General features: G+C 45.8%; 1 pseudogene across 1 annotated transcript in view, besides 3 other annotated features; it reads left to right on the top strand.

Annotated features, from left to right (window-relative positions):
* Window positions 218-733: an enhancer, noted in NCBI's record as "H3K27ac-H3K4me1 hESC enhancer chr17:45569915-45570430 (GRCh37/hg19 assembly coordinates)". NCBI's record gives its function as "activates a minimal SCP1, AML or CMV promoter by ChIP-STARR-seq in naive H9 embryonic stem cells {active_cell/tissue: H9 hESC(naive)}" and the evidence as "EXISTENCE:reporter gene assay evidence [ECO:0000049][PMID:30033119]".
* Window positions 662-16611, top strand: part of MRPL45P2 (mitochondrial ribosomal protein L45 pseudogene 2) — a 42394-nt pseudogene continuing 26444 nt past the window's right edge. Inside the window, exons 1-4 of the transcript NR_033934.1 lie at window positions 662-888; window positions 2090-2267; window positions 2987-3116; window positions 10192-10290. The product of NR_033934.1 is annotated as a mitochondrial ribosomal protein L45 pseudogene 2 (transcript). The remainder of the gene's footprint in view (window positions 889-2089; window positions 2268-2986; window positions 3117-10191; window positions 10291-16611) is intronic.
* Window positions 795-894: an enhancer, noted in NCBI's record as "active region_12312". NCBI's record gives its function as "activates an Ori minimal core promoter by ATAC-STARR-seq in GM12878 lymphoblastoid cells {active_cell/tissue: GM12878}" and the evidence as "EXISTENCE:reporter gene assay evidence [ECO:0000049][PMID:35858748]".
* Window positions 15352-15552: a silencer, noted in NCBI's record as "peak2874 fragment used in MPRA reporter construct". NCBI's record gives its function as "represses an SCP1 promoter by STARR-seq MPRAs in K562 erythroleukemia cells {active_cell/tissue: K562}" and the evidence as "EXISTENCE:reporter gene assay evidence [ECO:0000049][PMID:32103011]".

The following is a 16611-nucleotide window of genomic DNA, read 5'->3' as shown; positions in this document are numbered from 1 at the left end:
TTCTCTGTCACCGAGGCTGGAGTGCAGTGGCGGGATCTCGGATCACTGCAGCCTCCGCCTCCTGTGTTCGAGGGAGTCTCCTGCCTTAGCCTCCCAAGTAGCTCAGACTACAGCCGCCTGCCACCAAGCCCGGCGCTCTCTTGCTGGCGCATGACAACCGTGCGTTCCACCCTACGACTAATTTTTTTTTTTTAGACGGAGTCTAGCTCTGGCTGGAGTCAGTGGCGCGATCTCGGCTCACTGCAACCTCTGCCTCCTGGGTTCAAGCGATTCTCCTGCCTCAGCCTTACAAGCAGCTGGGACTACAGGCGCGTGCCACCACGCCCAGCTAATTTTTGTATTTTCGTCATTTTGGCCAGGCTGGTCTCGAACTCCTGACTTCAGGTGATCCACCGGTCTCGGCCTCCCAAAGTGCTGGGATTACAGGCGTGAGCCACCGCGCCCGGCCTCCTTTTCCTTTTTTAACTAATGGAATAAACGGCAATGTGCCAAGCATACAGCAATGCCCATTCCCGGCCTTCAGAAAGCCTCGGGCGCAGGCGCAGCTCGCGTTCAAGCGCTCTCTCGCTGGCGCGTGACAACAGTTGGTTCCACCCTACGCCCAACATTGTCTCCCTGCGCACGCGCGGCCGTACTCCGCCCGCCTTACTCCACCCTCCCCCACTCCCGCGAGCACGTGCGCGTCCTCGCGGCTCACATTTCGGCGGAGGGCGCGCTCCCTGGAAAATTCCACTCCTGTGCTAGCTCCACCCTATGCGGCTTTTCTCCTACCCGACGCTCTTCACTCTCAGCTCCCTTCCCGGCGGCCTTTGCGGGAACAAGATGGCAGCCCTCATACCTCAAGGGTTCTCTTGTTTATCGAGGGTTTTGGGCTGGTGGTCTCGGCAGGTGGGTAGGGACGGGGCCGATAGGACCCTAGGGGCTACAGGAGGAGGACAGAGTCGAGGGAAATACTCTCTGTGCAATTGTCCTTGGTGAGCTGGGACAATACGAGTCATACCTAGGCCGGGGAAGAGGCTTAGGTGGACAGGACCTAGCTGCGGAGCTCAGTGGTCGAATGGGGATAGCCTAGACAGGGCCATGAGAGCGAGTGAATTAACGGGTATTAAGTTTTTCCGGATTGGTTTGGGTCTGTCTGGCGAGGAGATATTAAAGGAGAGACAAGTAATGGGTTGGAAGGTGGACTCCCTAATCTTCGATTCTTATAAGTGAACTACGTTGAAGAGTAGCCGAAAATGAGGGCGTCCCATATTGTCACCGCCCCGTCTGAGCAAACCTCATGATCAGAGAGAAAAGGTCTCCTGGTCTTTCGAGGGTTTATTGGTCAGTTGGGTGCTAAAACGACAGAATAAAGTTTACAGCGAGACTCCCGATAGGATGAGCAAAATATCACGAGTACATATGGAGCAGATGCCTACAAGAGGACTTTGCTTATGCTTTAAGCATAGCATTCAGGGCCAGGCGCGGTGGTTCACACTTGTAATCCCAGCACTTTGAAAGTCCGAGGCAGAAGGATGGCTTGAGCCCAGGAGTTCGAAATGAGCCTGGGCAACATATAAGACCTGGTCTTTACAAAAAAATTTTAAAATTAGCCGGATGCGATGGCGCACTCCTTAGTCCCAACTACTTGGGAGGCTGCGGTGGGAGGATAGCTAGAGCCCAAGGAGGTCAAGGCTGCAGTGAACCGTGATCGTGCCACCGCACTCCAGGCTAGCGATCTGCCTCAAAAAATAATAAAGAATAGTATTCTGCCCATTTCAGTATTGAGTTGGTGTTTCCCCATCACCATCAGTTTTTGAAACTTGCTTTGATCAACTCAGTATCCGTAGGTGTTAGCATAGTCCTGTACTGTGGGAAGTTCTAAAGGAAAGCCTTTAGTAAATGTGATGTTAATAAAGGTTGCTAACTGTCTTCTATTTAGAGACACCCATAAGTATTAAGGTCCTAATGCATTTTTTCCCTGTGATATTGTTTTATAATTGTTCCTGAAGCATTCTTTGGATATTCCCTCTCTATAGTGCTTTGCTTAGAGTTTGTAAAAGATAGTAGATCTTTTTTCTAGGTTCCTAACCTTTCCTTTACCTTCCAGCCAGTTCTGGTGACTCAGTCCGCAGCTATAGTTCCAGTAAGAACTAAAAAACGTTTCACATCTCCTATTTATCAACCTAAATTTAAAACAGAAAAGGAGTTTATGCAACATGCCCGGAAAGCAGGATTGGTTATTCCTCCAGAAAAATCGGACCGTTCCATACATCTGGCCTGTACAGGTGAGGTATTTCTGGGACCCTGACCTGGGATCCTTCTGTCAGAGATCTTCTGGAACTTGGGATGACTTGGACTATGATTGATAATATTTAATTAAGCACGAAGTCAGTTCAGCCTCAATAATGATTAACCTTATATACACTATATATCATGAAGTTGTTCTTTGAACTTACTTTCACACTGTCCCTAGAAGGCAAGAGTGAAATTTCTCCATTTTGTGGAAGTAGAAACTGAGGCTCTGAGAGAAGACTTAAATCTTTCTGGCTTTTTTTGTTTTGTTTTGTTTTTTGAGACAGAGTCTCGTTCTGTCGCCCAGTGGCACAATCTGGGCTCACTGCAACCTCTGCCCCCCTGGGTTCAAGCGATTCTCCTACCTCAGCCTTCCAAGTAGCTGGGATTACAGGCACCTGCCACCATGCCCGGCTAATTTTTGTATTTTTAGTAGAGATGGGGTTTCACCATCTTGGCCAGGCTGGTCTTGAATTCCTGACTTTGTGATCCGCCCGCCTCGGCCTCCCAAAGTGCTGGGATTACAGGTGTGAGCCACTGTGCCCGGCCTTGTTTTGTTTTTTTCTAGTGTAACATAGTTCTCTCTACATGGAAGTCTGTTTCATTAGTCTACTTCATATCCACAATCCTTCCCAATTTTACATTACTTCAATTTTATGAGTTTTTCTCAATCTTTCAACACTTTCTTAATTTTTTTCTTCCTTTATTACAGCTGGTATATTTGATGCCTATGTTCCTCCTGAGGGTGATGCACGCATATCATCTCTTTCAAAGGAGAGATGATAGAGAGAACTGATAGAGAGAACTGAACGAATGAAGAAGACTATGGCATCACAAGTGTCGTAGGTGTCTGAGACAATTGGGTATTGGTATTAGAATAACAATTTTTTGTTGCTACTTTATCCCAAAGAGACCTTTTTGGGTTAATTGGGTTGGGTGTCATTCTCTTAATAACATGATGGTATTTTCTCCTTTGTACTAGAGTCTGTATTTAATGCAGAATAATGTGGGCTTCCTGATTCTCAGCATCCCTGCCTTTATTGGTAATTTTTGTCATATCAGTTAGGGAGTTGACTTTGGAGTGTATAGGATCCTTTTTTAATCATATATTTAATTTTTTTTTTTTTTGAGATGGAGTTTCGCTCTTGTTGCCCAGACTAGAATGCAATGGCACGATCTTGGCTCACCGCAACCTCCGCCTCCTGGGTTCAAATGATTCTCCTGCCTCAGCCTCCTGAGTAGCTGGGATTACAGGCATGTGCCACCATGCCTGGCTAATTTTGTATTTTTAGTAGAGATGTGGTTTCTCCATGTTGGTCTGTTGGTCAGGCTGGTCTTGAACTCCTGACCTCAGGAGGCCCGCCTTGGCCTCCCAAAGGTGCTGGGATTACAGGCGAGAGCCACCACGCCCAGCCCTTTATTTATTTATTTATTTATTTATTTATTTATTTATTTATTTATTTTGAGACGGAGTTTCACTCTTAACTCACCGCAACCTCTGCCTCCCGGGTTCAAGAGATTCTCCTGCCTCAGCCTCCCGAGTAGCTGGACTACAGACGCATGCCACCATGCCCAGCTAATTTTTGTATTTTTAGTAAAGACGGGGTTTCACCATGTTGGCCAAGATGGTCTCTATCTCTTGACCTCGTGATCCACCCACCTCGGCCTCCTGAATTGCTGGGATTACAGGCGTAAGCCACTGCGCCCAGCCGACCTGGCTAATTTTTAAAAGAAATTTTTGTAGAGACGGGGTATCACTATGTTGCCCAGGCTGGTCTCGAACTCCTGGGCTCAAGCAGTCCTCCCACCTCAGCCTCCCAAAATTCTGGGATTACAGGTGTGACCCGTCACACCCAGCCAGTCTAGCTCTGACTGTATCTATCTTTTTTTTTAAATTTGTACTGTTCATTGCAGAGCAGGGCTACCCCATAGGCCAGTGTGCCCAGAGTAGCCGCTGTCACTATATGTAAATCATGTATAGGTTTATGTGCATAAGTATATTGAGTAAGTATGAATTCTTCACATGGCCATGACTTATTTCTCTACATACAGATTTTATTGGCTGGGTGCGGTGGCTCACGTCTGTAATCCCAGCACTTTGGGAGGCTGAGGTGGGCAGATCACCTGAGGTCAGGAATCGAAAACCAGCCTGACCAACGTGGAGAAACCTCGTCTCTACTAAAAATGCAAAATTAGCCGGGCGTGGTGGCACATGCCTGTAATCCCAGCTACTCAAGAGGCTGAGGCAGGAGAATCGCTTGAACCTGGGAGGCGGAGGTTGCGGTGAGCTGAGATCGTGCCATTGCACTCCAGCCTGGGCAACAAGGGCGAAACTCTGTCTCAAAAAATAATAATAATAAAAAAGATTTTATCATATCACCTTCCTGCTTAGAACTCTTTTATGGCTTCCTGTTAACCAAAGAATAAAATCCAGATATCTTCAGTGGTATACAAAGCTTTTATAATCTGGTCCTTGCCTTTTTCTCCACCATCATTCTTTGTCCTTATTCCATTTTTCTCATCCTAAATTTTAGCATTTCCAAACTAATTGCCAATTCCTTGCCAGTACTGTACCATTCCTCTTTGTCTTTGCACATCCTTTCCTTTGCCTGAAATGTCTTTTTCCCCTCCTACTTTTTCTTCTTTTTTTGAGATGGAGTTTTACTCTTGTTGCCCAGGCTGGAGTGCAATGGTGCAATCTCGGCTCACCACAACCTCTGCCTTCTGGGTTCAAGCGATTCTCCTGCCTCAGCTCCCGAGTAGCTGGGATTACAGGCATGTACCACCACGTCCGGCTAATTTTGTATTTTTAATAGAGACGGGGTTTCTCCATGTTGGTCAGGCTGGTCTTGAACTCCCGACCTCAGGTGATCCGCCAGCCTCAGGCCTCCCAAAGTGCTGGGATTACAGGCGTGAGCCACCACGCCGGGCTATCATGTTTGTTTCTAAGGCCTCCATGACTATTTTTGGTGCTGCCTTTGCTGTGATCGTAATTGCACACTTGTATTTATTTCTCCTAATACTCTGTACTGCAATGTTTCCTCTCATGTATTTCTCTCCTGGACTGTGAGCAGGGTCCATGGTGATGATGAACAAAGCACATACAGTTTTACCATGCAGTTCTCTTCTAGGGGAGGAAAACAGTCATTAAATACTGATCGCACACAAATAATTATAGGTGTAGTGAAGTAGGAGTGCCGTGGGAGCATATGACAGGGAAAGATAATGGCCGGGCGCAGTGGCTCACGCCTGTAATCCCAGCGCTTTGGGATGACGAGGCGGGTGGATCACGAGGTCAGGAGATCGAGACCATCCTGGCTAACACAGGGAAACCCCGTCTCTACTAAAAATACAAAAAATTAGCCAGGCGCGGTGGCGGGCGCCTGTAGTCCCAGCTACTCAGGAGGCTGAGGCCGGAGAATGGTGTGAACTCAGGAGGCAGAGCTTGCAGTGAGCCGAGATTGCACCACTGCACTCCAGCCTGGGCGACAGAGCAAGACTCTGTCTCAAAAAAAAAAAAAAGATAACTTGGTCTGGGAGATCAGAGAAGACTTGCCTGAGGAAATGATATTTAAAGTTGGGATGGTGGCTGGATGCGGTGGCTCACAACTGTAATCCCAGCACTTTGGGAAGCCAAGGCTGGCGGATCACCTGAGGTCGGGAGTTCGAGACCAGCCTGGCCAACATGGTGAGATCCCATCTCTACTAAAGATACAAAATTTAGCCAAGCATGGTGGCACATACCTGTAATCTCAGCTACTCAGAAGGCTGAGGCAGGAGAATCGCTTGAACCCAGGAGGTGGAGGTTGCAGTGAGCCCAGATTGCACCACTGCATTCCAGCCTGGGCAACAGAGTGAGACTCCATCTCAAAAAAAAAAAAAAAAAAAAAGTTTTTTTTTTTTTTTTAGAGTTAGCCAGGTGGAGAAGTGTGGTGAGGAATAGCATTCTAGGGAAACAGAACAGTACAAGCAAGGCTTTGAGGTTAAAAGAGTATAAAGGGGTGTCAGATTTTGTCAAATGCTTTTGTGTGTCTATTGAGATGATCATGTGATATTTGTTCTTTATTCTGTTGATATGATGACATATTAATTGATTTTCTTTTCTTTTCTTCTTATTTTTGAGATGGAGTCTTGCTCTGTTACCCAGGCTGGAGTGCAGTGGCTCCATCTCGGCCCACTGCAGCCTCTGCCTCCCAGGTTCAAGTGATTCTCCTGCCTCAGCCTCCCGAGTAGCTGAGACTACAGGTGTGCGCCACCATGCCCCACTGATTTTTGTATTTTTAGTAGAGACAGGGTTTCACCATGTTAGCCAGCCTGGACTCCTGACCTCAGGTGATCCACCTTCCTGACCTCCCAAAGTGCTGGCATTACAGGCGTGAGGCACCGTGCCCAGCCTTATTAATTGATTTTCAAATATTAAACCAACCTCACATCCCTGGGATAAATTCCTTTAACACACTTAAATTAATACTTTGATTAAATCAAATTCTCTATATTGTTATGACTTGGAAAAATGCTGTTGACAGCTGAGTTATATAGTATATTATGAACACTTTTTCTTTCCTGCATAATATATTTTTTTTTTCTGAAGTGTAGTGTCTTAATTTGCTCATTTGCTTATGGAACTATGGGTTATGTAATTTCCTCTCTGTGCATTCAAAACATTAAATTTTTTTTTTTTTTTTTGAGAGGGAGTCTCAGTCTGTTGCCCAGGCTGGAGTGCAATGGTGTGATCTTGGCTCACTGCAACCTCTGCCTCCCGGGTTCAAGCAATTCTTCTGCGTTAGCCTCCCCAGTAGGTGGGACTACAGGTGTATGCCACCACACCTGGCTGTTTTGTATTTTTAGTACAGATGGGGTTTCACCATATTGGCCAGGCTGGTCTCGAACTCCTGACCTCATTATCTACCTGCCTCAGCCTCCCAAAGTGCTAGGATTACAGGTGTGAGCCACCACGTCCTGCAACATTAAATATTTTATTAATTTCATCTTTTTCAAGAAATCCTTCCTGGAGTCTTCTTACCTGTTTTAATCTGGACTAGTTGCTCTTAAGGCCAACTGTATGTCTTAGGATCTAAGATTCCTCTTGCCTCCGTCTTCTTTTCTTTTTTTTTTGAGACTGAGTCTTGCTCTGTTGCCCAGGCTGGAGTGCAGTGGCGCGATCTCAGCTCACTGCAACCTCCGCCTCCCGGGTTCAAGCGATTCTCCTGCCTCAGCCTCCTGAGTAGCTGGGATTACAGGCACGCGCCACCACGCCCAGCTAATTTTTGTATTTTTAGTAGAAATGGGGTTTCACCATGTTGGTCAGGCTGATTGCCTCCCTCTTACGTTGTATTCCCTGTTGCTTGGATCCTATGTCTTTATGTTTTCATAGTCTATTTCATTACTTTGGTGGAGCACATTTTCTAGCAGCTGCCTGAGAAAGGCTGCATGGTGGATAAATAAGATCTTGCAAGTCTAAAAAGAAATCTTTCTTTTATTTTCCCACTTCATTTATAATTTGCCCAGGTATTTAATTCTGTGATAGAAATAATTTTTTCCTCAATTAAAAGTACTGCTCAAAGTCTGGGCGTGGTGGGTCATGCCTGTAATCTCAACACTTTGGGAGGCTGAGGCAGGAGGATCACTTGAGCAGGAGTTGAATACCAGCTGGGAAACACAGTGAGACCTTGTCTCTACAAAAACTAAAAAAAAGTGAAAATTAGCCAAGCGTGGTAGTGCACACCTGCAGTTCCAGTTACTTGGGAGTCTGAAGTGGGAGGATTGCATGAGTCCCAGAGGTCAAGGCTGCAGTGAGCCCTGATGGCGTCACTGTACTCTAGCCTGGGTGACAGAGTGAGACCCTGTCTCCGTGAATGAATGAATGAATGAGTGAATGAATAATAAAAGCACTGCTCTGTTGTCTTTGTAATTACTTTTTATTTTATTTTTTTTTTTTTGAGACGGAGTCTCACTCTTTCGCCCAGGCTGGATTGCAGTGGCGCGATCTTGACTCACTACAACCTCTGCCTCTTGGGTTCAAACAATTCTCCTGCCTCAGTCTCCTGAGTAGCTGGGACTACGGGCGCCCGCCACCACGCCCAGCTAATTTTTGTATTTTTAGTAAAGACAGGGTTTCACCATATTGGCCAGGCCGGTCTCGAACTCCTGACCTTGTGATCCGCCCACCTTGGCCTCCCAAAGTGCTGGGATTACAGACCTGAGTCACTGCGCCCGGCCGTAACTTCTTTTTTTTTTTGAGACGAAGTCTCGCTCTGTCACCCAGGCTGGAGTGCAGTGGCAGGATCTCAGCTCACTGCAACCTCTGCCTCCTGGGTTCAAGTGATTCTTCTGCCTCAGTCTCCCGAGTAGCTGGAACTACAGGCATGTGCCATCACGCTTGGCTAATTTTTTGTATTTTAGTGGAGACGGGGTTTCACCATGTTGGCCAGGATGGTCTCGAGCTCCTGACCTCATGATCTGCCTGCTTCGGCCTCCCAAAGTGCTGGGATTACAGGCGTGAGCCACTGCACCCGGCCTGTCTTTGTAACTTCTAATGTTGCTGTTAGGAAGCCCAGTGTTGCCAGGTGCCATGGCTCAGGCCTGTAATCCCAGCACTTTGGGAGGCCGAGGCAGGCAGATCACAAGGTCAGGAGTTCGAGACCAGCCTGGTCAGCATGGTGAAACCCCATCTCTACTAAAAATACAAAAATTAGGCGGGCGGGGTGATGTGTGCCTGTAGTCCCAGCTACTCGGGAGGCTGAGGCAGGAGAATTGCTTGAACCCAGGAGGCAGAGGTTGCAGTGAGCCGAGATTGCGCCACTGTACTCCAGCCTGTGCGACGGAGTGCGAGACTCTGTCTCAAAAAAAAAAAAAAAAAAAAAAAGAAGCCCAGTGTTATTCTGACTCTTTTTTTTGAGATGGAGTCTCGCTCTGTTTCCCAGGCTGGAGTGCAGTGGCGCGATCACTACCTCTGCCTCCTAAGTTCAAGTATTCTCCTGCCTCAGCCTCCCAAGTAGCTGGGATTACAGACAGCACCACCATGCCCAGCTTTTTTTTTTTTGAGATGGAGTCTCACTCTGTGACCCAGGCTGGAATGTGGTGGTGCGATCTCTGCTCACTGCAACCTCCGCCTCCTGGGTTCAAGCGATTCTTGTGCCTCAGCCTCCGGAGTAGCTGGGATTACAGGTGCGTACCACCATGCCCAGCTTATTTTTGGATTTTTAGTAGAGATGGGGTTTCACCCTGTTGGCTAGGCTGGTCTCAAACTCCTGACCTCAAGTGATCTACCTGCCTCGGCCTCCCAAAGTGCTGGGATTACAGACATGAGCCACCGCACCTGGCCTATTTTGACTCTTGAGCATTTGTATGAAACCCGTTTTTTCTGTTTTTAGTGCATATAAGATGTTATCTTTGATTCTAGAATTCTGAAATTTCACTATGAGAGAAGTCTTAGTCTTTCTTTAGAGTGCTTAATTTAAGAGGGAGAAGGTTGAATTTCCAGGACTTGACACATTAAAAAATCAATTATTGGCCGGGCGTGGTAGCTCACGCCTGTAATCCCAGGACTTTGGGAGGCCGAGGCGGGTGGATCCTGAGGTCAGGAGATCGAGACCATCCTGGCTAACACGGTGAAACCCCGTCTCTACTAAAAATACAAAAATTTAGCCGCGTGTGGTCGCGGGCGCCTGTAGTACCAGCTACTCAGGAGGCTGAGGCAGGAGAATGGCGTGAACCTGGGAGGCAGAGCTTGCAGTGAGCCGAGATCATGCCACTGCACTCCAGCCTGGGTGACAGAGCGAGACTCAAAAAAAAGAAAAAAAAAAAAAAGCTAAACAATTATTGAGTAAGTGGATGGACATGAATGGAGGTCAGTGTAGGCTGTGAATTATGGAATTGTAAGACCTTTAGAAGTAATACTCAGGCTTAATTTTACAGAATCCGGAGGATAAAAGACTATGATGCCAACTTTAAAATAAAGGACTTCCCTGAAAAAGCTAAGGATATCTTTATTGAAGCTCACCTTTGTCTAAATAAGTAAGTGAACTCCCTACCTTTACCCATTCTGTTCTCAGCAGTTAGCTATTATTTTAGGCACAGTTTTTTGTTTGTTTGTTTTTGTTTTGCACAAATTTGTTTTCTGCCTTCAGGTAAGAGATCTAGAGTGAGAGAACTTCCTATATTGGAAGTAATTAGTGACTGAAGCTGTCTTTCACTCCCCTCTCTGCTTCTGGGAATTTCTACCATTTGGTCTGTCTCAGTTCCACCTGCAAGTGTTGGGACCTTGTGCCAGAATAGCTGCCTTTTTCACCCCATCTGATCCCTGAATTCATCCTGATCTTTTTTGTGTGTTTGTCTTATGTATCTTCATTTCCCTTTCCTTGGTTATTTTGAATATATTTCTTGTGAAAATTTCCAGCTCTCCCTCCACTTTTATTTTTTTTTTTTATTTTTTATTTTGAGATGGAGTCTCGCTCTGTCGCCCAGGCTGGAGTGCAATGGCTCAATCTTGGCTCTCCGCAACCTCCACCTCCCTGGTTCAAGCAACTCCCCTGCCTCAGCCTCCCAAGTAGCTGGGATTACAGGTGCACGCCACCACATCCAGCTAATTTTTTTGTATTTTTAGTAGAGACGGGGTTTCATCATGTTGGCCAGACTGGTCCCGAACTCCTGACCTCAGGCAATCTGCCCGCCTCGGCCTCCCAAAGTGCTAGGATTACAGGCGTGAGCCACCATGCCCGGCCCCCTTTTTTTTTTTTGAGATGGAGTCTCACTGTTGCACAGTCTGGAATGCAGTGGCATGATCATGGCTCACTGCAGCCTTGACCTCCTGGACCCAAGTGGTTCTCTCAAGGAATCTACTTAGTCCGTCAAGTAGAGCTGGGACCACCAGCATCTGCCACCACACCCAGCTAATTAAAATAAACTTTTTTTTGTAGAGACAAGGTTTTGCTGTGTTGCCTAGACTGGTCTCAAATTCCTGGGCTCAAGCAATCCTCCTGCCTTGGCCTCCCAAAGTGAAGAAATTATAGGCATGAGCCACCATACCTGGCCACCCAGCTTTTTCTTGATTCATCCAAGTTAGGGCTGCTAGGAAGATGAAGAACCAACATTAGGAGGCTGGAATATCTTAAGTACTAGCCGTGGACTGTTGCTGGCATTCTTTGATCTGTGGCTGCTGTGGCTAGGCTTCAGGTGGGACCCAAAACCTGTAGTCTAAAATCCATTAATTATTTCATTTTACTTTTATTTCTTTAAAAAAAAATTATTTATTTTGAATAGAGATGGGATGTCGCGATGTTGCCCAGGCTGTTCTTGTTTTTGTTTTTTGTTTTGAGACGGTCTTGTTCTGTTGCCCAGGCTGGAGGGCAGTGGTGCAATCACAGCTCATTGCAGCCTCAGCTCCGGGGCTCAAGCGATCCTCCCATCTCAGCCCCTTGAGTAGCTGGAACCTCTAGGGGTATACCACCACACCCTGCTAGTTTTCATATTTTTTGTAGAGATGGGATTTCACCATGTTGCCCAGGCTATGCAAGCCAGTCATTTTTTTTTTCCCCTTTTTGAGATGGAGTCTAGCTCTGTCATCCAGGCTGGAGTGCAGTGGTGCAGCCTGTGCCTCCTGGGTTCAAGCAATTCTCCTGCCTTAGCCTCCCAAGTAACTGCATGCCACCACACCCAGCTAATTTTTGTATGTTTAGTACAGATGGGTTTTTACCATGTTGGCCAGGTAGTCTAAAACTCCTGACCTCAGGTGATCTGCCTACCTCAGCCTCCCAAAGTGCTGAGATTACAGATGTGAGCCACTATGCTCAGCCTTGTTTTATTTCTCAAAACATTGTTTTTTTGTTTGTTTGTTTGTTTGTTTTGAGATAGACTCTTGCTCTGTTGCCCAGGCTGGAGTGCAGTGACGTGATCTTGGCTCACTGCAACCTCTGCCTCCCAGATTCAAGCAATTCTCCTGCCTTAACCTCCCAAGTAACTGGGATTACAGGCACGCACCACCACACCTGACTATTTTCTGTATTTTTAATAGAGACAGATTTCACCATGTTGGCCAGGCTGGTCTTGAACTCCTGACCTCAAGTGATCCGCCCACCTCGGCCTCCCAAAGTGCTGGGATTACAGGCGTGAGCCAACACGCCCGGCCTAATTTTTGTATTTTTAGTAGAGATGGGGTTTTGCCATGTTGGCTAGGCTGGTCTCAAACTCCTGACCTCAGGTGATCCGCCCTCCTCAGCGTTACTATTGTTTCTGTTGAGAAATTAACTTTTTTTTTTCATTTTGTTAAAGTTTATTTTTACTTTGTGTGCTTTTATTTATCTTTTTTTTTTGAGACAGAGTCTCGCTCTGTTGCCAGGCTGGAGTGCAGTAGCGCAATCTCGACTCACTGCAACCTCCGCCTCCCAGTTTGAAACGATTCTGCTGCCTCAGCCTCTTGAGTAGCTGGAACTACAGGTGCCTGCCACCACGCCCAGCTAATTTTTGTATTTTTAGTAGAGACAGGGTTTCACCATATTGGCCAGGCTGGTCTTGAACTCCTGACCTTGTGATCTGCCCACCTTGGCCTCCCAAAGTGCTGGAATTACAGGTGTGAGCCACCGTGCCCAGCTGACTTTGTGTGCTTTGAAGATTTTCTCTCAGGCTGGGTGTGGTGGCTCTCGCTTGTAATCTCAGCGCTTTGGGAGGCCAAGACCGGTGGATCACAAGGTCAGGAGTTCGAAACCAGCCTGGCCAATGTGGTGAAACCCTGTCTCTACTAAAAATACAAAAAAAAAATTAGCCAGGTGTGGTGGTGCATGCATGTAATCTCAGCTACTCGGGAGGGGCTGAGGCAGGAGAATCGCTTGAACCCAGGAGTCAGAGGTTGCTTTGAGCCGAGATCGTGCAGCTGCACTCAAGCCACGACAACAGAGCAAAACTCCGTCTCAGAAAAAAAAAAAAAAAAGATTTTTTTTCTTTCTTTTTAGTATTCAGCAATTTACTATGATTTATCTATGGGTATCTGTCTTCTTAAATTTTTATTTTTTTTTTAGTTTTTTTTTGTAGAGACAGGGTCTGGCCTTGTTGCCCAGGCTGGTCTTGAATCCCTGGCTTCAAGCAATCCTTCCACCTCAGACTCCCAAAATGCTGGGATTATAGGCATGTGCCACCACACTGGGCCATGTGTGTGTCTTTTATCCTGCTCTGGGTTCATATTGCTTCTTAAATCTTTAGGTGCTTTTTTTGTCAGTGTTGGAAAATTCTCAGTCAGAACTCATCTCTTCAGATGTTGCTTCTGCTCCACTTTCTTGTCTCCTTGTGTAGTTCTGAATACACATATGTTAGATCTTTCACTGTGTGCCAAATGTGTCTTCAGCTCTTTTCTATATTTTTCCAACCTTTTTCTTACCCCTCCAGCTTTAGTCTGGATATTCTATGAGCTATCTTCCTGTCCTCTTTTCAGTTGTAGCTAATCTGCTGTTAACCTACTTATCGAGTTCTTAATTTTATATTTATTTATTTATTTTCTGTTTTTTGCTTTTAGAATTTTCATTGTTGTTTTTTTTTTTTTTTTTTTTTTTTAGTGTGTCCAGATCTCTGGTAAAATTCTCCATTTTGTCATCTAATTTCTTGAACATACTAATCACAGTTATTTTAAAACCTGTGTCTGATAACTTCAAAATCTGTGTCTTCAATAGGTCCATTTTCTCTTGTCTTATTTGTTTCTTTTGGGTTTTGGTTAGTTCTTGTCATTTTTGTTTTTGTTTTTGTTTTTGTTTTTTGAGATGGAGTCTTGCTCTGTCACCCTGGCTAGAGTGCAGTGGTGTGATCTCCGCTCACTGCATCCTCCACCTCCCGGATTCAAGGAATTCTCCCTTCTCAGTCCCCGGAGTAGCTGAGACTACAGGTGCACGCCATGACGCCCAGCTAATTTTTGTATTTTTAGTAGAGATGGCATTTCACCATATTGGTCAAGCTGGTCTCGAACTCCTGACTTCAGGTGATTCACCTGCCTCAGCCTCCCAAAGTGCTGGGATTACAGGCATGAGCCACTGCACCTGGCCTTGTTTTTGGTTTTTGAGACAGGCTCTTGTGCTGTCACTCAGGCTAGAGTACAGTGGCTCGATCACGGCTCACTGCTGCCTTGACCTCCCAGGCTCAAGTGATCCTCCCACTTCAGCCTCCAAAGTAGCTGGGACTTAGTACATGCCACCATACCTGGCTAATTTTTAAATTTTTTGTAGAGACAGGGTCTTGCTATGTTGCCCAGGCTGGTCTCAAACTCTGGCCTCAAGCAGTCCTCTCACCTCAGCCTCCCAAAGTGTTGGTACAGTTTTCTTGCCATTTTGTATTCCTGCATTTTTTTTTAAACAAATAGATATTTTAGAAAAATCTAAGACAATCATTTATTTTAAAAATCATAAGATTAATAATAGCTTTTATATATTTATGGTAAAATACACATAATATACAATTTACCATTTTAATCATTTTGAAGTATATAATTCAGTGGCATTAAGTACATTCACAATGTTGTACAATTCTTACCACTATCCATTTCCAGATTTTGTTCATCTCAGACAGGAATTTTATACCCATTAAGCAGTAATTCCCCATTGCCCTCTTCCCTTATCACCTGGTAACCTCCATTCTACTTTATTTCTCTCTGAATTTACCCATCCTGATGCTATGGTCTGAATGTTAGTGTCTCCTGAAAATTCATTTGTCGAAATCCTAACCCCCAAGGTGATGGTATAGGCTGTGGGGGGACCCCTGGGAGGTGATGAGGTCATGAGAGTGGAGCCCTCATGAATGGGAATAGTGCCCTTATAAAAGAGACCTGGGGATCCGGGTGTGGTGGTTCACGCCTATAATCCCAGCACTTTGGGAGGCTGAGGCAGGCAGATCACGAGGTCAAGAGATCGAGACCATCCTGGCCAACATGGTGAAACCCCGTCTCTACTAAAAATACAAAAATTAGCTGGGCGTGGTGGCATGCACCTGTAGTCCCAGTTACTTGGGAGGCTGAGGCAAGAGAATTGCTTGAACCCAGGAGGTGGAGGTTGCAGTGAGCCGAGATCGCGCCACTGCACTCCAGCCTGGCGACAGAGCGAGACTTCGTCTCAAAAAAAAAAAAAAAAGAGAGACCTGAGGGAGCTTGTGCACCCCTTCCACCCACTGATGACACAGCAAGAAGTCAACATCTATGAGGAACAGGCTCTCACCAGACACCAAATTTGCCAGTGTCTTGATCTTGGACTTCCCAGCCTCTAGAACTGTGAGAAATAAATGTTGTTTATAAGCCACCTGGTTTATGATATTTTTGTTATAGCATCCTGAACAGATGAAGGCATCTAGGTACCTCACATAAGTGGAATCTTACAGTTTTTGACCTTTTGTGATTGGCTTAGTTCACTTAGCATGATGTCTTCAATGTTCATATATATTGTAGCATGTGTCTCCTTAATTTTATTTTTATTTTTTTTATCTTTTTTTTTTTTGAGATGGAGTTTCACTCTTGTCACCCAGGCTGGAGTGTAATGGCTCGATCTCCAGTCACTGCAACCTTTGCCTCCTGGGTTCAAGCGATTCTCCAGCCTCAGCCTCCCAAGTAGCTGGGATTACAGACGCCCACCATCAAACCTTGCTAATTTTTGTATTTTTAGTAGAGACGGGGTTCACCATGTTGGCCAGGCTGGTCTCGAACTCCTGACCTCAGGTGATCGCCTGCCTCGGCCTCCGTAAGTACGGGGATTACAGGTGTGAGCCACCGTGCCCAGCCACATATGTCTCCTTATTAAGGCTGAATAATATTTCATTGTATGTATATACAACACATTTTGTTTATCCATTCATCTAGTGATGGACATTCAGGTTGTTTCCACCTTTTATTGTGGCATAATGCTCCTGTGATTGTTGGTGTACAAGTATCTGTTTGAGCTCATGCTTTCAATTCATTTGGGCATATACTCAGAACTGAAGTTGTTGGATCACATGATAACTCTATGTTTAACTTTTTGAGGGGCTGGGTGGTGGCTCATACCCATAATCCAGCACTTTTGGAGGCCGAAGTGGGAGGATTGTTTCTGGGCAGCAGAGTAAGATCCCATCTCTATAAAAAATTTAAAAAATCATCCGGGCATGGTGGTGCATGCCTGTAGTCCCAGCTATTTGAGGTGCTAAGGCAGAAGGATTGCTTGAGCTCAGGGATTTTTGAGGCTGTGGTGAGCTATGATTGTGTCACTACACTCCAGCCTCAATGACAGAGTGAGACTGTCTTGAAAAAAAAACCCTAACTTTTTGAGGAACCACCATATGGTTTTCCTTAGCAGCTACACTGTTTTACATTCCTACGACCACTGCACAAGGATTCCAGTT

The sequence above is a fragment of the Homo sapiens genome, chromosome 17 (assembly GCF_000001405.40).
Source record: "Homo sapiens chromosome 17, GRCh38.p14 Primary Assembly".
Classification (NCBI taxonomy): domain Eukaryota; kingdom Metazoa; phylum Chordata; class Mammalia; order Primates; family Hominidae; genus Homo; species Homo sapiens.
Note: the sequence above shows the minus strand (reverse complement) of the source record. Positions and strands in the feature narration are given on the sequence as shown.